Consider the following 22,317-nt stretch of genomic DNA (forward strand, 5'->3'; position numbering starts at 1 on the left):
TACATTCCATCTGCCAATCCCACCACACATGATTTGCACTTTGTTTTTTTTGTTTGTTTGTTTGTTTGTTTTTTGAGACGGAGTCTTGCTCTGTCACCCAGGCTGGAGTGCAATGGCATGATCTTGGCTCACTGCAACCTCTGCCTCTCAGGTTCAAGAGATTCTCCTGCCTCAGCCTCCTGAGTAGCTGGGATTACAGGCGCCTGTCAACACGCCCAGCTAATTTTTGTATTTTTAGTAGAGATGGGATTTCACCATGTTGGTCAGGCTGGTCTCGAACTCCTGACCTTGTAATCTGCCCTCCTCGGCCTCCCAAAGTGCTGGGATTACAGGCATGAGCCACCGCGCCTGGCTGATTTGCATTTTTTAACTTTATGGCCTAGATACTGAAGAGCTTCCTCAAATAGTGAATCTTGGTGACTCTATTTACATTATTTCCTCTTTCCTCTGACTAAATCATTTTTTACACCTCTTTTTACCTGGTTCAATCGTACTTATTATTCAAAACTCAATTCAGTTGTTATTGTTTCCATGTGGCCTCTGACCTGACTAAATTAAGTTAAGGGTCTCCCCTCTGTACTAATACACCCTGTGTATTGTCTATCCTAACACTTAATATTGTATTAAAAATGCTTGATAGCTACATTAAAATATTTATGCACCTTTAATTTTTAAACTATTTTAACATTTTAAGTATGAAGATAATAACATGAGACACCAATGTACCCATCATGGAAATTAAAGTGTTAATGTGTATTATAGATTTCATACTTTAGGGGTTTTATTAGTAAATAAAAGGTTAGAGAAACTTGTAAATGCTCATCTCAATCCCTTCCCACTTCCTCCCTCTCAGATTTAATGTCTTTAAAATTTCAGTGAAGTGCTACCACATTGTATATATTATTCTTCAAGTTTTTCATTCTATATTTTCTAAGATTTGCCTTTGGTGTTAGTTATACCAGAAAATTACCAATGTCCCCATTGCCCCATATCTGTGTCACACACAGGGTTACTAAATATATTAATTGTTGGCCAATCAGATGGCTATATAAGAGTAGCTTCATGCTTTATATTTCCCTAATCACTAGTGAAGTTGGCATTTTTTTTCTTTTTTTGTTTTTGTTGGCTAGTTTAGAGTCTCTTTCTTTACAGTTGTCTCTTTGGGTTCATTTTAATTTTGAATGCTTGTCTTTTAGGTTTTTGGTGACTTGAAAGATTTATATACTCTGAATGCTAGTTTTTTTTTTTTTTTTGATTATGTGGGCTACAAATATTGTCTCCCAATTTGTGGCTTGTCTTCACTTTGGGATGCCATTTGTCATAAAGAAGTTGCCAATTTATTTTTAAATTTTATTTGTATACCTTTAAGGGATACAACTGTTTTGTTAGGTGCATACAATGCATAGTGGTAAATTCTGGGCTTTTAGTATAACCATCATCCAAATAATGTACATTGTACTCATTAAGTAATTTCTCATCCTTTTCCCCACAACCGACCTTACCACCCTTCTGAGTCTTCTATGTCTATTAATCCACACTTTATGTCCATGTGTACACACTGTTTAGCTTCTGCTTATAAGCCAGAACATGCAATATTTGACTTTCTGTCTCTGAGTTGTTTTACTTAAGATAATGGCCTCCACTTCCATCCATGTTGCAGCAAAAGACATGATTGCATTCTTTTTTGAATTGCAGACTAATATTCCATTGTATTTGTGTGCTACATTTTCTTTATCCATTCATTTATTGATGGACACATAGGTTGATTTCAAATTTTGCTATAGTTTGCAAATATTTTCTCACATTCTGCAGACTTTCTGTTCACTCTGTTGATTATTTATTTGACTGTACAGAGGCTTTTTAGTTTAATTGTCTCAATGTCTCTTTTTGGTTTTGTTAATTGTGCTTTAGAGCACAAAATCTCAAAAGGTCTTAAGTCATGAATTATTTGCCTAGTTCAATGTCCAGACGTGTTTTCTCTGGATTTTCTTCTAGTATTTTTATAGTTTCATGTTTACATTTAAGTCTTTAATACATTTTGAGTTGATTTCCATATATGGTGAGAGATAGGGTGAGTTTCATTCTTCTGCATATGGCGATCCAGTTTTCCCAGCAGCATTTATTGAAGAGGGTGTCCTTTCCCCAGTGTATGTTTTTGTCAACTTTGTCAAAGATCCATTGGCAAAGATATGTCACATTATCTCTGACTTTTCGATTCTATTCCATTGATATCTGCATTGATTTTTATACAAGTACCATGTTGTTTTTGTAACTATAGCCTTGTAGTATAATTTGGGGGTCAGGTAATTTGATGTTTCCAGCTTTGTTCTTTCTGCTCAGAAATGTTTTGACTATTTAGGCTCTCTTTTAGTTCCACGTGAATTTTAGGATTGGTTTTCCCAATTCTGTGAAAAACGGCATGCATATTTTCATGTGGATTGCATTGAGTCTATAGATTGCTTTGGTCAGTATGGTCATTTCAACAATATTAATTCTTCCAATCCAAGGGAGTGGAATGTTTTCCCATTTCTTTGGGTCATCTACAATTTGTTTCACCAGTGTATTGTAGTTTTCTTTGTACAGATATTCCACCTCCATGGTTAAATAGATCCCAAGGCATTTTATTCATTTGCAGCTATTGTAAATGGGATTGCTTTCCTGATTTGTTTCTCAGCTTGTTATTGGCGTACAGAAATGCTATTGATTTTTTGCACATTAATTTTGTATCCCGAAATTTTGCTGAATTCCTTTTTCAAATCTAAGCATTTTTTGAGGAGTCTTTAGGGTTTTCTAGGTATAAGATCACATCAATAGTAAACAGAGATCATTTCACTTTCCCTTTTCCAGCTTGAATGCTTTTTATTTCTTTCTCTTGGTTGAATACTCTGGCTAGGACTTCTAATACTATATTGAAGAGAGTAGTGAAAGTGGGCATTCTTGTCTTTCAGTTTTTACAGGGATTGCTTTCAGCTACTCCCAATTCATTGTGGTGTTGGCTGTGGGTTTGTAGTATATGATCTTTATTTTTTTCAGGTATGTTCTTTCTATGCCTAGTTTGTTGAGGGTTTCTATCATGAAGGGATACTGCATTTTGTCAAATGCTTTTTCTCTATCTATTGAGATGATCATATGGTTTTTGTTTTTACTTTTGTTTATGTAATAAATTGCATTTATTGATATGCCTATTTTGAACCATCTTCACACACTTTGAATAAAACCAACTTGATCTTTTTGATGTGCTATTGGATTTTGTTTACTAGTATTTTGTTGAGAATTTTTGCATCTATGTTCACAAGGATATTGATCTATAGTTTTATTGTCGTGTCCTTGTCTGGCTTTGGTATCAGGATAATACTTGCTTTCTAGAATGAATTATGGAGAATTCCTTCCTCCTCAAGTTTTTGGAACTGTTTCATGAGGATTGGTACCAGTTCTTCTTTGTAGGTTTGGAAGAATTTGGCTCTGAATCCATCTGGTCCTGGGATTTTATTTTTGGGGAGATGCCTTATTACTGATTCTATCTCACCACTCATCATTGATCTGTTCAGGATTTCTATGTATTCCTGGTTCAATATTCGGAGGTTGTATGTTTCTAGGAATTCATTCATTTCCTCTGGAATTCTTAGCCTGTGAGCAAAGACTTATTCATGGTAGTCTCTGATTATCTTTTGTATTTCCGTGGCATCAGTTATCATGTCTCCTTTTTTATTTCTGATTGTGTTTATTTGGATCTTTTCTCTCCTTTTCTTGATTAGTCTAGCTCGTAGTCTATCAATTTTGTTTATCTTTTAAAGTACCAACTTTTAATTTCATTGATTGTATTGTTTTTGTTGTTGTTCTCAGTATCTTTTAGTTCTGCTCTGATTTTTTTTATTTCTTTTCTTGTGCTGTGTATTTGGTTTGCCTTTGTTTTCTAGTTTCTTGGGATGAGACTGGAAGTTAGTCTGTGACCTTTCTATTTTTTTTTTTAATGTAAGCATTTAATACTATAAACTTCCCTCCCTCTTAGTACTACTTTTACTGTATTCCGTAAGTTTTGGTAGGTTGTGTCTCCATTTTCATTCATTTCAAAATTTTTTTTTCTAATTTTTGTCTTAATTTCATTATTGACCAAACATTGTTCAGGGGTATATTGTTTAATTTCCATTTATTTGTGGTTTTGAGAGTTTTCCTTGGTATTGATTTCTAGTTTTATTCCGCTGTAGTCTGAGAATATACTTAATATGATTTCACTTTTTTTAAATTTATTGAGACTTGTTTTATGGCCTGTCATATGGTCTATCTATATTGGAGAATACTCCATGTGCTGATGAGAGGAATATATATTCTGCTGTTGTTAAATCAAATGTTCTGTATGTCTATTAGGCCCATTTGGTCTAAAGTCCAATTTAAGTCCACTGTTTCTTTGTTGATTTTCTATTTTCAATAATCTAAGTGTTGTGAGTGAGGTGTTGAAGTCCCCCACTATTATTGTATTGCATCTATATCTTTTTTAGGTCTAGTAATGTTTGTTTTATAAATCTGGGCGCTCCAGTGGTGAGTGCATATATTTTTAGAATTATTACATCTTCTTCTATAATTGATTCCTTTATTATATAATGACATGTTTCTCTTTTGTTTTCACTGTTTTTGATTAAAGTCTGTTTTATCTGACATAAGTATAGCTACTCCTACTCTCTTTTAGTTTCCATTTGTATAGAATATCTTTTCTCATCCCTTTACCTTCAGTTTGTAAGTGTCTTTGCTTACCAGTAAGGTGAATTTCTTATAAGCAGCATATAGTTAATTCATGTTGCTTAATCCATACTACTAATCTATGTCTTTTAAAGGAACATTTGATTCATTTATATCCAAGATTAATATTGATTTGTGAGGTTGTTTTTCCTGTTGTAATGTTTTTATCTGGTTTTGTGGTTCTTTGTTTCTCTCAATGTAGTAAAACATATTACTCTTTATTGCATAATTTTACAAATTATTTAAGAAAATCTTCCCTACTCTAATATCACAAAGATATTTTTCTATGTTTTCTTCTAAAACTGTTTGTTTTTCTTTTCACATTTGGATATTTAATTCATTTGCAGTTTATTTCTATGCTCTATATGATCAAAATTTATCTTTTCCCATGTGAATAGATGACTGATTGTTTCAACAACATTGTGTAGTCCTTTGTTTCCCCCACTGACTTGTAATTCTACCTCTTTTATATACAAAAAGCTTTTCCCCAAACTATTCATCCTGCTCCATTGCCTTATTTGCCGATTCCTGTGCTATTACAACATTGTTCTAATCACTATAATCTAATATTCAGTCTTAATATCTGAAAATACAAGTCCACTTTTTTTTGGTTTTCATTTTCAAAAGTGTTTTGCCATTCTTAATACTGAATTCTTCCGCAAGAATATTAGGTTCAACTTGTTGAGGTACATAATCTATTGGAATTTTAAAAATTGGCTTTAATTGAAAGATTAATTTGGGAAGTGTTGATACCTTTGGCATAGTAAAAGTTGTAATTCATGAACATGGTATTTCCCTTCATTTAGGTCTTACTATGTGTTGTTCAATAAAACTTTGTGACTTCCATCAAGAATATGTACACATTTTGTTAGAGTTATGTTTAAGTACTTTAAGTTGTTAGCTTTACAAATTGTATCACTTTTTAAGAAATGCATTTTCTAATTTTGGTTGATTCTATGTAGAAACATTACTAATTTTGATGTTTTGATTTTACATTGAGCTACAGAGCTGAATGTAAGTTCTAATATGCAACCAGCAGATTCTTTTGCGTCTTTATTATAAAATCATTTTATCTACCTGTGACAATATCCTTTCTTTCTAATCCTATACCTTTGTTCTTCTTGAGTCCGTTTTTCATAAATTACAATCTAATTAGGAAATAATCTACTTCATCATACTGTTTTTTTAATTTATTTTCACGTATTATCCACAGTTTTCTCTTTCATAAATCTCTACTACATCTGTGAATGTTTTCTCCATTACATTCCTAACATTGTTTCACACCATTTATCTTTTAGTCTTTTTAGCAACTTTTCCAGAGGTTTTTCTACTTTATTAATCTCTCAAATAGTACTATTTTTGCTTGTTGGTCTTTTCTATTATTTGGTTTGTTTATTGGTTTGTTTTCCAACTCATTAATTTCTACTTTCTACTGCAGCTATCATTATTATGTCCCTTCTTTTACTTTCTTATGGTTTACTAAATTGTTTTCTGGTGCTCTAATACATTTGGGACCTTTTTATTCACCGTTGTTTTTATTGAAATACATTGCAGACTACATGGTTTTGATGATACTGAGTTCTTATTAGTTATTGCCTTTCACATTGTGGCCAAGTATATTGTTAATTTTTCAAATGTTTCTTCTTGCTTGTAATAAAAATATATATTCTTTTATTATTAGGTATAGGCTAGAGATCTACTAATTGTACACTTTATTCTCCATTACATTATAAACTTCTCTAAGACAAATACCACATTTTATGATTTTTACATACCTGGAACATTGAGAGTACCCAATACTTGAAATATTTACCTTCTTGGAACATTAAAAACACCTAATGAGCTGGAAATAAATGAACTGGAAAATGAAGTTTTGATCTCTTATGTTCAGTAAAAGATATTCTTTCTTTGAAAAAATAAGTATATTAACATTGAACTTTCTAAAGAAATTTTGGTTAGTTTTACTAAAACCTGGTTAGCTAGCCAGCTATCTAGAGGAAATATATAAATATCTACATTGCATGTAAATTATTCTTCCTTTCTAAATTCTTTTTGTTCCCTAATTATATGCAGCAATTTATAAGTAAATGCATCAGCTTTCTATGCCAATGAATTTTTGTCCATGATTCCTCTCATCTTAATTCAACAGTAAAATAAAACTCCTATGTGCATCAGAGATGAATACATTTCATGATATTATGATTTCTAAATAAGTAGTCCATGCATGTTTGTGGAGACAATACCTGGTCATAATGAAGTAAATTGTTTTGTTTTGTATGATAAAGCACCATAATGAATTATAAGATTTAATTAGGCAGTGATTCTATTTCAAGTCTGATTGTTGATTTGTCATTGCTTTATAGAGACTACGACACTATAATTTAAGGACTTTAATGAAAATGAATTAATTTGAAAGTGCTTCTAATTCTGCAGCAATTAAGTGATTTTTCTCTCATCCACTAAAACTTATTTCTATACAAGAATGGATTTGCACAGCATCATAGTGGGAAAAAAATCATTATTGTTAGTTATCATGAAAGGCAATCAGAATTGAAGGCATTATTATGTGTTTTACCAACTTGCCAACTATTCCACCCCTTCCCTCAAATACATGCAAAACACTGAAGACAAATCATATCCTCTACTTGAAGGATAGGAGGCGGACTTTTTTTCTCTCAAATAGGCTAGAAAAAGCATATATGGGTAATCAGTTAAATGATAGAAATCTTTAAACATCTGAGCACATTACTCTTGAGACTCTAGTAGTGTATACATTATAAATTCATAAAGGGGTCTACTCTGTGACGCCTTGTGTCAGGGAGAAAATGGTACCATGCAATTGTTCTCAATAAGCAATAAATGTGTTCTCTGGTGTTTGGCAAACCATTACACCATTTATTTAGAGTAAAGCTCATTATTTTATTCTATTAAATATCTCACTTTCAACACTGTTAATGAGTTATTTATCTGAAATGTGATCACTAGCACTTCTTTCACTTTAAGACTACCTTCCCTTTGTACAGAATCTACTTCTCCTCTGGGTTATGGTGTTAAAGTAAACTGAGGATTGACTCCTTCTGTTTCCATTAAAGAACATCATGGTAACAAAACCTAGGTTTTTTTATTATTATCATTTCCTCCTGCCACCTTTTCAGCTTAATGCTGGAACTTTTAACTCTTTCTAATATTTTCATTAGGACATAAAATAAACAAATAATGCCTTATGTGTTTCACTAGCACTTATTCCATGGGAGATAAAACTTACAATCTGGTTATGTACTAAATACAAGGAAGAACACTTCCTCACCCTTTTGAAATCTGTCTTGGGCTCTTTTACATAAACTGATCAATTTTCCTAGAGTTGCAGCAGAGCTAAGTGATGAACCTGTCTTCCATGTCTCAGTAGATCCTTAAAAAAAAATTAAAAGAGCAAACTTAAATGGGCAATGAAGCATTGTGAGTCCTTCCTCTACAATGCCATGCTACCTTGCAGCTTCAGTGTAAACTCCTTGAAAACAAGAATGAACGTTACCTTGTTTCTAGATCCACAATAGCCCCTATCGATGTCCAGGCATAGTGAGTGCTCAATAAAGTGGTAAATTGATAAGGAAGGAAAAATTCATTTGTCGAGTATGAAGCAAGATTATTAAACAGTTCATTTCACATAAAAGACTCAATGTGTTTGTTGTTGAAGCAGAGAGAGAGAAAGAGAGCGAGAACAAGAGGAATTGAAGTGTCACTTAAATTAACTCATTTAGACTAAAAGTCAAATTCATTCCCATGTGAACTTACTGTTGGCCAAGGTCATAAGCACTCCTCAAAATTTTCCTCAGATGTGTTTGTAAGGCAGAATCAGTCGTATGACTCTCTCTATTGATTACCAGCATTTGGTTTTTCACTTTACAATGCTACTAAAATAGGCAGAGTCTTGCCTATTTTTTCTTCTAGTATACAATATGTTTGTTTCCCTTCTGAAATCTCCCTATAATCTGCACTTCCTACTCAATAGAGTATTGCCCCATTTTTAATTTTGTTTTAATCACTGTGGTCATAAATTATCCTAGCAATGTTTCTTATTGCATTACCATGGTTAAATGAGTGTAATCAATGAAATTTAATATATCTGTGTTGACTTGAGTTCATTATGAGTTTGGTATTGAACTTTCTTTTTAGTGTATGTGGCTGTTTGCCTATACACCAAAATAAGAATGGTAGACATGAAGATTCCTGGTGTCAGCTTTGTCATTTTTTCCATCATCTTCTCTATAAATGATACCATCAGCTATAATTGCTTCAGGCTGATACTCAGACAATTTTAAGGAGGCATCTCTTCTTACTTGCTCCAATAGCTATTGGTCAAATTGCATATAAAAAGTACACCTGTATTGGGTGCATATGTATTTAGGATAGTTAGCTCTTCTTGTTGCATTGATCCCTTTACCATTATGTAATGTCCTTCTTTGTCTCTTTTGATCTTTGTTGGTTTAAAGTATGTTTTATCAGAGACTAGGATGGCAACCCCTGCTTTTTTTGCTTTCCATTTGCTTGTTAAATAGTCCTCCATCTCTTTATTTTGAGCTTATGTGTGTCTTTGCACGTGAGATGGGTCTCCTGAATACAGCACCCTGATGGGTCTTGACTCTTTATCCAATTTGCCAGTCTGTGTCTTTTAATTGGAGCATTTAGCCCATTTTCATTTAAAATTAATATTGTTATGTGTGTATTTGGTCCTGTCATTATGATGTTAGCTGGTTATTTTGCTCGTTAGTTGATGCAGTTTTCTTCCTAGCCTTGATGGTCTTTACATTTTGGCATGATTTTGCAGCGACTGGTACCGGTTGTTCCTTTCCATGTTTAGTGCTTCCTTCAGGAGCTCTTGTAAGGCAGGCCTGGTGGTGACAAAAATCCCTCAGCATTTGCTTGTCTGTAAAGGGTTTTATTTCTCCTTCGCTTGTGAAGCTAGTTTGGCTGGACATGAAATTCTGGGTTGAAAATTATTCTCTTTAAGAATGTTGAATATTGCCCCCGACTCTCTTCTGGCTTGTATGGTTTCTGCCGAGGGATCCACTGTTAGTCTGATGGGCTTCCCTTTGTGGGTAACCCGAACTTTCTCTCTGGCTGCCCTTAACATGTTTTCCTTCATTTCAACCTTGGTGGTTCAGACAATTATGTGTCTTGGGGTTGCTCTTCTCGAGGAGTATCTTTGTGGTGTTCTCTGTATTTCCTGAATTTGAATGTTGGCCTGTCTTGCTAGGCTGGGGAAGTTCTCCCGGATAATATCCTGAAGCACGCTTTCCAACTTGGCTCCATTCTCCCTGTAACTTTCAGGTACACCAATCAAATGAAGGTTTGGTCTTTTCACATAGTCCCATATTTCTTGGAGGCTTTGTTCATTTCTTTTCATTCTTTTTTCTCTAAACTTGTCTTCATGATTTACTTCATTAAGTCGATCTTCAATCTCTGATGTCCTTTCTTCTGCTTGATCAATTCAGCTATTGATACTTGTGTATGCTTCACAGAGTTCTCATGCTGTGTTTTTAAGCTCCATCAGGTCATTTATGTTCTTCTCTAAACTAGTTATTCTAGTTAGCAATGCATCTAACCTTTTTTCAAGGTTCTTAGCTTCCTTGCATTAGGTTAATAAAACCCAGATTCAAAAAGCAAGTTCTTAGAAACCTACACAGAGACATAAGACACCTACACAATAATAGGGAGAGACTTTAATACCCTACTGTCAATATTAGACAGATGAACAAGACAAAAAATTAACAAGGGTATTCAGGACTTGAACTCTGCTCTGGACCAAGCGCACCTAACAGACATCTACAGAACTCTCCACCCCAAATCAACAGAATATACATTCTTCTCAGCACCACATTGCACTTATTCTAAAATTGACCACATAATTGGAAGTAAAACACTTCTCAGCAAATGCAAAAGAATGGAAATCATAACAAACAGTCTCTCAGACTACAGTGCAATCAAATTAGAACTTAGAATTAAGAAACTCACTCAAAACTGCACAACTACAAGGAAACTGAACAACCTGCTCCTGAATGACTACTGGGTAAATAATGACATTAATGCAGAAATAAATAAGTTCTTTGAAACCAATAAGAACAAAGACACAATGTACCATAATCTCTGGGACACAGCTAAGGCAGTGTTTAAAGGGAAATTTATAGCACTAAATGCCCACAGGAGAAAGCAGGAAAGTTCTAAAATCGACACCCTAACATCACAATTAAGAGAACTGGAGAAGCAAGAGCAAGCAAATTCAAAAGCTAGCAACAAAAGCAAACAAATTCAAAAGAAATAACTAAGATAAGAGCAGAACTGAAGGAGATAGAAACATGAAAATCCCTTCAAAAAAAATCAATGAATCCAGGAGCTGGTTTTTTGAAAAGATCAACAAAATAGACTGCTAGCCAGACTAATAAAGAAGAAAGAGAGAAGAATCAAATAGACACAATAAAAAATGGTAAAGGGGGTATCACCACTGACCCCACAAAAATACAAACTACCATCAGAGAATACTATAAACACCTCTATGCAAATAAACTAGAAAATCTAGAAGAAATGGATAAATTCCTGAACACATACACCCTCCCAAGTCTAAACCAGGAAGAAGTTGAATCCCTGAATAGATAAATAACAAGTTCTGAAATTGAGGCAATAATTAATAGCCTATCAACCGAAAAAAGTCCCGGACTAAAAGGATTCACAGCCAAATTCTACCAGAGGTAAAAAGAGTAGCTGGTACCATTCCTTCTGAAACTATTCCAAATAATAGAAAATGGGGGATTCCTCCCTAACTCATTTTATGAAGCCAGCATCATCCTGATACCAAAACCTGGCAGAGACACAACAGAAAACAGAAAATTTCAGGCCAATATCCCTGGTGAACATCGATGCAAAAATCCTCAATAAAATACTGGCAAGCCGAATCCAGCAGCACATTAAAAAGCTTATCCACACCATCAAGTTGGCTTCATCCCTGAGATGCAAGGCTGGTTCAACACACGCAAATCAGCAAATGTAATCCATCGCATAAACAGAACCAATGACAAAAACCACATGATTATCTCAATAGATACGGAAAAGACCTTCAACAAAATTCAACAGCCTTTCATGCTAAAAACTCTCAATAAACTAGCTATTGATGGAATGTATCTCAATGTAATAAGAGCTATTTATGAGAAACCCACAGCCATTATACTGAATGGGCAAAAACTGGAAGCATTCCCTTTTTAAACCAGCACAAGACAAGAATGCCCTCTCTCACCACTCCTATTCAACATAGTATTGGAAGTTCTGGCCAGGGCAATCAGGCAAGAGAAAGAAATAAACAGTATTCAAATAGGAAAAAAGGAACTCAAATTATCTCTTTTTGCAGATGACATGATTGTATATTTAAAAAACCCCATCGTCTCAGCCCAAAATCTCCTTAAGCTTACAAGCAACTTCAGCAAAGTCTCAGGATACAAAATCAATGTGCAAAAATCACAAGCATTCCTATACACCAATAACAGAGAAACAGAGAGCCAAATCATAAGTGAACTCCCATTCACAATTGCTACGAAGAGAATAAAATACCTAGGAATACAACTTACAAGGAATGTGAAGGACCTCTTCAAGGAGAACTACAAACCACTGCTCAAGGAAATAAGAGAGGACAAAAACAAATGGAAAAACATTCCATGCTCATGGATAGGAAGAATCAATATCATGAAAATGACCATACTGCCCAAAGTAATTTATAGATTCAGTTCTATCCCCATCAAGTTACCATTGACTTTCTTCACAGAATTAGAAAAAAATATTTTAAATTTCATATGGAAACAAAAAAGAGCCCACATAGCCAAGACAATCCTAAGCAAAAAGAACAAACCTGGAGGCATCACACTACTTGACTTCAAACTATACTACAAGGCCACAGCAACTAAAACAGCATGATACTGGTACCAAAACAGATATATAGACCAATAGAACAGAATACAGGCCTTAGAAATAACACTACACATCTACAACCCTCTGATCTTTGACAAACCTGATGAAAACAAGCAATGGGGAAAGATTTCCCTATTTAATAAATGGTGTTGGGAAAACTGGCTAGCCATATGCAGAAAACTGAAATTGGATCCTTTCCTTGCACCTTACACAAAAATTAACTCAGGTCAGATTAAAGACTTAAATATAAAACCTAAAACCATAAAAACCCTAGAAGAAAACCTAGGCAATACCATTCAGGATATAGGCATGGGCAAAGACCTCATGACTAAAACACCAAAAGCAGTGGCAACAAAAGCCAAAATTGACAACTGGGATCTAATTACACTGAAGAGCGTCTGCACAGCAAAAGAAACTATCATCAGAGTGAAGAGGCAACATACAGAATGGGAAAACATTTTTGCAATCTGTCCATCTGACAAAGGGCTAATATCCAGAATCTATAAGGAACTTAAACAAGTTTACAAGAAAAAAACAACCCCATCAAAATGTGGGTGAAGGATATGAACAGCCACTTCTCAAAAGAGGACATTTATGCAGCCAACAAACATATGAAAAAAAGCTCATCATCACTGGTCATTAGAGAAACGCAAATCAAAACCACAGTGAGATACCATCTCACATCAGTTAGAATGGCAATCATTAAAAAGTCAGGAAGCAACAGATGCTGGAAAAGATGTGGAGAAATAGAAATGCTCTTACACTGTTGGTGGGAGTGTAAATTAGTTCAACCATTGTAGAAGACAGTGTGGTGATTCCTCAAGCATCTAAAACCAGAAATACCATTTGACCCAGCAATCTCATTACTGGGTATATACCCAAAGGATTATAAATCATTCTAATATAAAGACACATGGACACGTATGTTTATTATGGCACTATTCACAATAGCAAAGACTTGGAACCAACCCAAATGTCCATCAATGACAGACTGGATAAAGAAAATGTGGACCATATACACCATGGAATACTATGCATCCATAAAAAAGGATAAGTTCATGTCCTTTGCCGGGACCTGGATGAAGCTGGAAACCATCATTCTCAGCAAACTAACACTGGAACAGAAAATCAAACACCGCATATTCTCACTCATAAGTGGGAGTTGAACAATGAGAACACATGGACACAGGGAGGGGAACATCACACACAGGGGCCTGTTGGGGGTTGGGAGGCTAGGGGAGGGATAGCATTAGGAGAAATACCTAATGTAGGTGACAGGTTGATGGGTGCAGCAAACCACCATGGCACGTGTATACCTATGTAACAAACCTGCACATTCTGTGCATGTATCCCAGAACTTAAACTATAATAAAAAATTTTTAAAAAAAGAGTACAAAGACTATGAACTAAGTTTCCAGTGCTTCGCCTCAGTAAATGATTCAGAAATAAAGGACTTTGTTACCTGAGCATAACACTCAAAAAAGCCAGAAAGTTTATACTATCTGAAATTTGGCCTAAGAAAAATATAGAACAAATGGAGCTTACAATGATGCTTTAAGGATGCTACATAGTCAACCCTGGTTGTGCTTTAAACACGGAGTTCCAGAAAGTTAAGGTTGTTTGTATTTGACCTGAAGAGTACGTATGGAACAAATGTTATAAATGCTGCATCGCCAGTCTTGTGTAGCTAAAACTTATATCCCAACGTAGTTTAAATCCTAGATTTGATGGAAGCAGTTTAACACAGGTTAATATGATAGCGTTTGAAATAAGCTAGGCCTAGTTTCAAACCCTGGGTAACCTCTGAGCCTCAGTTTCTTCATTAGTTAAATGGGAATAATGAATCACTTTACAAAATTATTGTGCAGATGGAATAAAGTGCTTATTACATTCTCTCTTTCTCTAAGAATAGAAAGAACCCTCTGTTCTTTCTATTCTTTAAGTTTAATCTAATTTAATAGGTATACTAATATCTGACTTGCCTTCTCAAAATTGAAAAATAAAATTACAAAAAATTTTTAGCAATTAAAATATCAGATGTAGATATTGAAATCTTATAAACATGTTTCCTGTCTTTATTTCATATGAGAGGTATCATTAGGACTTTTGTCTTTATTAGCATATAACATTTATATCACAGAGTAAACCATTTGGGCTGATGATATGTGTAAAATTCAGAAAACATAAGCATTCAATATGCATTATTCCTATTATATGTGTATTGATTTATACAAAAATTTATAAGAAACAATTTTTATGCACTTGAGAGAACACTAAATCATTCAAAATTTGGTATTTGTTAAGAAGTATGTTATGTCTGTATGGTAGATGTTTTAGATCATCACCTCAAGCTATTGATGCGAAACTGTAACTAGATGCAATTTAACAAGCAATGGCTGAGTTTCCATTGTTTTCCTAGCATTAACTTAGGTACTGTCAGGAATATCAAGAAATTGAGTGTCAATTGATGAATCCATAACCCCAAATATCTGACCCCATTCTCCCATTTCCAGAACCCTCCCTATCTTCAAACATCTTTTACCCCATCAGAACCACCAATCCATTATATTGGCATCTTCTCATGCACTTCTCCACAACATCGATGTTTTCTCTGCCCTCTTTATATGGTTCAAATTCTATAGTCAATTATCAGATTACTCCCTTGTGGACCCCCTTGACACCCTTTCTTCTCTCTCATGTCACTGTGCTTGCTTGCTCAGCAAAATTACAACCCTGGCTGAATTCAACTCTCTAAGTAGTGCTGAAAGGAACTAGCAAAAAGACTCAACCATACCAACTGATTGAATTCATGGTTGCAAATCTGAAGTGCAGTCTTGAGGCTTACCAGTGATCATTTCATACTTCCCTAGTCCATTGACTCTCCCTCTGTTCTGGGGACAATTTCATATCTTCTCTGGCTTTAAACCATCCATACCTCCTTTCCCATCTTCATGACTACTAATCCTACTCTTCTGAAAAAACTAAAGCTCACTTCAGAGAAGAAGCATGTCTCATTTGCTATTTGTGAATACGGCAATTTTCCATTTTTTAAATTAAATATACCATTTTGCCTATAAAACATAATGCTTCCCATATAATTACTTTAGAATACAGTCCTTACTGTAAATGGTTGTTCAGCCTAGGTTTGAATATAACCTAAATATAATAAGCTTGGGTCTCCAGGGAAATCAAAAGAAGTGAACTTGTGGGTTCCCTTAGAAGAGAGTTCATTGTGGGCCTGTGATAGAAATTTTTAGTGATATCTCAGCTGAAAAATAGAGATCAGAGCTTGGATTACGTGGTCTACAAATTATTGACCCTGTTTAATCACAAGTCAGAATGTTTGGAATAAGATATATTGCTCAAGTAAGGCCATTTATTCCATGTCTGAATGAATAAATGTAAAAATCAAAACAAAGTTATATCTTAGAAAGCATGCATATGTATATATACAACAAATATATATAACATTTATAAGTAAATATATGTACATACGAATTTCTTTATAAATTGAAAACAGTTGTTTCTGAGGACCAGACAGAAGATTACAAAGGTTGATTAATAAAAGTATGGGCTTTATTTGTCTAATGACATATCTAACAATTTCAACAGGTGGTTGCATAATGGGTTAAAAAAGATATCGTGTTTTGAAAATTTTATTAAATCCCATATATATCTATTCTCATCTGTAAACACCCATTAGATATTTAAATAAAACTTCTACTCTTGTAAATGTGTGGTTCTTCATTTGAAAAATGAAAATCATATTGCTTAATACAGCTTCAAAATTATTGAAAGAATTAAATGATTTTTTCACAGTGACAAAGTGAAGTGTAAGTTACCTTATACTTATTAATTAAAATTCTTATTCATACTATAATTTTATCTAGAATTTTTCAAGTACTTATTAAGAGCCAGACATGATACTCAGTGTTTTACATTCATATCATCAAATACTCAGAATAACCCTCTGAATTCAACAAGAAATGACTAATTCTTTCAAATATTATAATGCCATCTAAGATTAAATGCTCAGTTAAGTGACAAAACTGGTACTTGGTCACCTTTCCAACCTGTGCTTTTAACCACTACACTTTTAACTACTACTATTTCTCTGTGTTTGGGTTGAACTCCTAGGTGAAGATATGCTCAAAGAACTTTCCCTAAACTCTAGAACTCATATATTAATATACATGGTGAAGAGCCACTGGTAACCTACTTTTCTAAATGTGTTCCAAGAAATTAAGCAAATTAAGATAACCACAAAAGCCTCAGCAAAAATGTTGCTGAGCATAAACTCCATCGACTCAATAGCTGAAACAAAAGCATACTCTTACTTTCTTGCCACATTTTGTTTTTCCTGAATTTAATGTTTGTTTTGTTGATTTTATTGCTTAGCTTTTTGTGAGGTTTTTTTTATCAGTCCAACCCAGAACTCTCCCTAAGCTGCGTAAATTTCCTGTCAATATGTTCAAACACATTAGTTGTTCTTTCACTTATAGCTCATTGGGCAAAAATTCTCTAGGAGCTTTTTGAACTGATGCAATCTAGACTGTGTGCTCTCCAGGCCTGCTGTGAGCCTTTGCCTTGTGAAACCTCCACCATCATTCTGGGGATTCCCTTTGCCTCTCTTATGTTGGACCATCTGGTTCCTGGTTACATTTCTTCCTTAATACATCATTTTGGTGACAAACATCCTACAGAAGATCTTTGGAAAACGGTGTGTGCAAAATAAAAATTTGGGGAACTTGAACATCTGAAAATATCTTTTAAAAAAATCTAGGAGGTTATTACTTCCAATCAGACAGCTTATTTTCAGCTCAGTTAAGTTTAAAATTTTGTTAGCTTTTCTCTTTAGTATCCTCAGAAGGTTGGCTGTGTCTTTTTTTTGGAATACCCTTCCACCTGTTTGGTAAGAACAAGGCAACTTTAAAAAATTCTGTGTTCTTAGGAAATGTCATTTATTTGGCAGGGATCCCAATGTGCAGCACAGCTTGATCCCCCTTCACAGTCCCCAAAACAGCTAGGCTTGACACCAAAAAGCTCTTTCAATGACAGCCATTCACTTATCAAAATTATTCTGAACTTAGAGAATATGGCTTTAAACAAAAAATGTACTTCAAGAAGCTCTTTCTCAGTCTGTTCAGGGGGCTATAACAAAATACTACAAACTGGGTGACTTATAAACAACAAACATTTATTTCTCACAGTTCTGGAGGCTGGGAAATCCAAGATCAAGGCACTGGGAAATCTATCTCATGAGGGCCTGTTCCTCATAGACAGTACCTCAATTGGCATATGGCCCATAGTGTTCTTATTAAAAAGACCACTGGGAGCAGACTTGCCCCTTCTCACTATGTCTTCAGCTGGTGGAAGGAGCAAGACAGCTCTCTAGAACCTTTATTTATTTATTTATTTATTTATTTATTTATTTATTTATTTACTATTTGAGACCTAGTCTTGCTGTGTCGCCCAGGCTGGGGTGCAGTGGCATGATCTCAGCTCACTGCAATCCCCACCTCCTGGGTTCAAGCAATTCTGCCTCAGCCTCCTGAGTAGCTGGGATTAGAGGTGCCCGCCCTCACACCCAGCTCATTTTTGTACTTTTAGTACAGACGGGGTTTCACCATGTTGGCCAGGCTAGTCTCGAACTCCTGACCTCAAGCAATCCGCCCGCCTCAGCCTCCTAAAGTGCTGGGATTACAGGCGCAAGCCACTGTGCCCAGCCTCGGGGGCCATTTTAATAAGGGCACTTATCCTATTCATGAAGGCTCTGCTATCATGACCTAATTATCTCCAAAATGCCTCACCTCTTAAAAACGTATCACCTTGGGTGTTAGGATTTCAACACATGAACTTGGGAGGATACAAATATTCAAACCGTAGCAGGAACATTCTGACAAATCTGCAGCCAGTATTTCTTCTCCAAAAGTTGTTTTAGCAATTGCATGGTTTTATGGGCATTTCTTATCTCTATATTTTAGTGGAAGGCCTGAAGTGTCCCAGTGAAAAAGGTGTTGAAACATTTTTGACAGTGTCCTTGTTTCACAGTTGGCATTTGACTATGTTTAACTGAAAGGTAGAATGTAAATATTTAACTTCCATTTTCTATTTAATTTAAAAAATAACTATTTTTTCAAGTATACAACACAGTATAATTACTAACTATAGTCTCCATAGTATATATTAGATCTCCAGAACTTGTTCATCTTATAACTGAAAGCTCATACCCTTTGGCCAACACCTCCTCATTACCCGCACTCCCCAGCACCTGGTAACAACTATTCTACTCTGTTTCTAAGAATTAGACTTTTTTAGATTCCCCGTATAAGTGATGTGATGCCATATTTGTCTTTCTATGTCTAGCTTATTTCACTTAGCATGTCTTCCAGGCCCATCCATGATGTTCCAAATAGGAGGATTTGCTTATGCTTTAAGGCCAAATAATATTTCATTGTGCACATATATACTATGTGCATATATTATATGTGTAGATAAGATATACATATATTATATGTATGTAGGTTTTGCTGTGCAAAAACCTTTTTATTTTGTATAGTCCTACTTGCTTACATTTGCTTTTGTTGTTTGTGCTTTTGGTGTCACATTCAAAAAAACCATTTCCAAGTCCAATGTCAAGGAGCTCTACCCCTACTTTTTATTCCAGAAGTTTTCAAGTTTCAGGTCTTATATATATATATAAGTTTTTAAAGTTTCAGGTCTTATATATAAGTCTTTAATCCATTTTGGGTTGATTTTTGTGTATTATCTAAGATAAGGGTCCAATTTCATTCTTCTACCTGTGGGTTTCTAGTTTTCTCAGCACCATTTGTTGAAGAGACTATCCCCATTGTGTTTTTGGTACATTTGTTAACCATCAGTTGATTGATATATATGTGGCTTTTTTTCTGGGATCTCTAATTTATTCCAATGATCTCTAAGTCTGTGTTTGTGCCAATATCAGCCCGTTTTGATTATAATAGCTTAGTAATGTAATTTGAAATGAAGAAAGGTGAGGCTTCCAGCTTTTTCTTCTTGCTCAAAATTACTTTAGCTACTCAGAATCTTTTGTGATTTCATATAAATTTTAGGATTATTTTTTCTATTTCTGTAAAAAAAGTCATTGGGATTTTGATAGGAATTGCATTTAATCTGTGAATTACTTTGGGTAGTGTGGAATTTTAAACAACATTAATTGTTTCACTCCGTGAATACATGATATCTTCTCATTTATTTTTGTCTTCAATCTTTTCATCAATATTTTGAAGTTTTCAGTGATACAGATTTTTCACCTCAGTTAAATTTATTTCTAAGTGTGGTATTCTTTCCCACATTATTGTAAGCATTGTTTTATTTCTTTTTCACATAGTTTGTTGTGAGTGTATGGAAACAAAATTGACTTTTAAATGTTGATTTTGTAACTTGTGCTCTACTAAATTTGCTTAATAGTTCTAATAGTTTTTGGTGGATTGTTTAGGGTTTTCTATATATAAGATGCTGGCATCCACAAAGAGGGACCATTCAGCTTTCCTTTCTGACTTAGTTGCCTTTTATTTCTTTTTCTTGCCTAACCCTCTGGTTAAAACTTTCAGTACTATGTTAAATAGAAGTGACAAGAGTGATCATCCTTGTCATGTTCCTGTTCTTAGATGAAAAGCTTTCAACTTTTCACTGTTGAGTATGATGTTGGCTGTAGTGTTGTCATATGTGGCTTTTATTGTGTTGAAGTACATTTCTTCTATACCTAATTTGTGGAGAGTTTCATTATGAAAGGATGTTGGATTTTGTTCAATGCTTTTTTCTGCATCTAGTAAAATGATCATATGATTCTTATCCTTCATTCTCTTGATGTGGTGTATCACATTTATTGATTTGTGGATGATAAACCATCTTTGCCTCCCCAGGGTAAATCCCATTTGACTATGGTATATGATCCTTTTAGTGTGCTGTTGTATTGGGGTTTCTAGTACTTCCTTGAGGATTTTTGCACATATGTTCATCAGGGATGTTGGCCTGTAATTTTCTTTTTTTGTTGTTTCTTGTCTGGGTTTGGTGTCAAGGTAATGCTAGTCTTCGAAATTGGATTTGAAAGTGTTCCCTTCTCTTCAATTGTTTGAGAAGGTTGATATTAATTCTCCTTTCAACATTTGGTAGAATTCACAGTGAAGTCATAGGGTACTGGGCTTTTCATTGTTGGGAGATTTCTGTTTACTGATTCAATCTCCTTATTAGTTATGTCTGTTCAAATTTTTTATTCATGATTCAGTCTAAGCAGGCTCTATATCAATAAGAATTTATTTCTTCTAGATTATTCAGTTGTTTGTTGGAATATAATTTCTTGTAGTGGTATCTTATCATGATTTGTATATCTGTAGTAACAGTTGTAGTGTCTTCTCATTCATTTCTGATTCTACTTATTTAAGTAGGTTCCCTTTTATTCTTACTGTAGCTAAAGGCTTGTCAATTTTATCTTCTCAAAAAAAACAAATTCTAGTTTCATTGATCTTTTCTGATTTTTCTTTTGTCACTGCTTCATTTACTGCTGCTCTGATATTTGTTGGGTTTGTTCTTATTTTTCTAATTACTTGAAGTGTAAAGTTAGCTTGTTTATTTGAGATCTTTCTTTGTTCTTAATTTGGCATTTATTTCTATAAACTTCCCTCTTAAAACTGCTTTTGCTGAATCCCATAAGTTTTGGTATGTTGTATTTCTATTTTTTTTTGTATCAAGATTTTCTTTTAATTTTCCTTTTGATTTCTTCTTTGACCTAATGGTTGCTCAGGATGGTACTATTTGGTTTCCACATATTTGTGAATTTTCCAGTTTTCCTCTTGTTAGTGATTTCTGGTTTTATATATATCATTGCTGTTGAAAAGATACTTGATATTATTTCAGTCTTTGTAAATTTTTTAAGACTTATTTTGTGGCCTTGCATATAATCTTCCTGCAGAATATTTCATGTGTGCTTGAGATTAATGTGTATTCTGCTGCTGTTGAATGGAATGCTCTCTCTCTCTCTCTCTCTCTCTGTGTGTGTGTGTGTGTGTGTGTGTGTGTGTGTGTGTGTATCTGCATAATCTACCCTGTTGCAAGCAGGGTATCGAAGTCCCTACTATTATTATATTTTATTTCATTTCTCCTTTCAGTCTGTCAATGCTTGCTTCATATATTTAGGTTATCTGATATTGGGTGCATATATATTTAAATTATATCCTCTTGCTGAATTGACACTTTTATCATTATATAATTACCCTCTTTGTCACTTGTGACAGGTTTTGACTTAAAGCCTATTTTGTCTGAAATAAGTACAGATACTCCTGCTCTCTTTTGGTTTATATTTGCATGAAATATTATTTCTATCCTTCAGCCTACATAAGTCCCTAAAGTTTGTTTCAAGCACGTGTAGTTGGGTCATGTTTTTTTCACCCATTCAATGACTCTATGTCTTTTCATTAGATTATTTAGCCTATTTACATTTAAAATAATTATTGATAGGTAAGGACTTACTATTACCATTTTGTTGATTTTTTTTCTGATTGTTTTATAGTTTCTTTGTTCTTTCTTTTTGCTCTCTTCCTTTGTGATTTAATTTTATATGGTGGTATGTTTTAAATTATTTATTTTTATCTTCTG

General features: G+C 34.3%; 1 protein-coding gene across 10 annotated transcripts in view; it reads left to right on the forward strand.

The window, feature by feature from the left end:
- The window catches only part of LRRC7 (leucine rich repeat containing 7), a 576,443-nt gene that overhangs the window by 229,944 nt on the left and 324,182 nt on the right, over positions 1-22,317 (forward strand). The gene's annotated exons all lie outside the window — the stretch shown is intronic.

This window comes from Homo sapiens, chromosome 1 (assembly GCF_000001405.40).
Source record: "Homo sapiens chromosome 1, GRCh38.p14 Primary Assembly".
In the NCBI taxonomy this organism is placed as follows: Eukaryota; Metazoa; Chordata; class Mammalia; order Primates; family Hominidae; genus Homo; species Homo sapiens.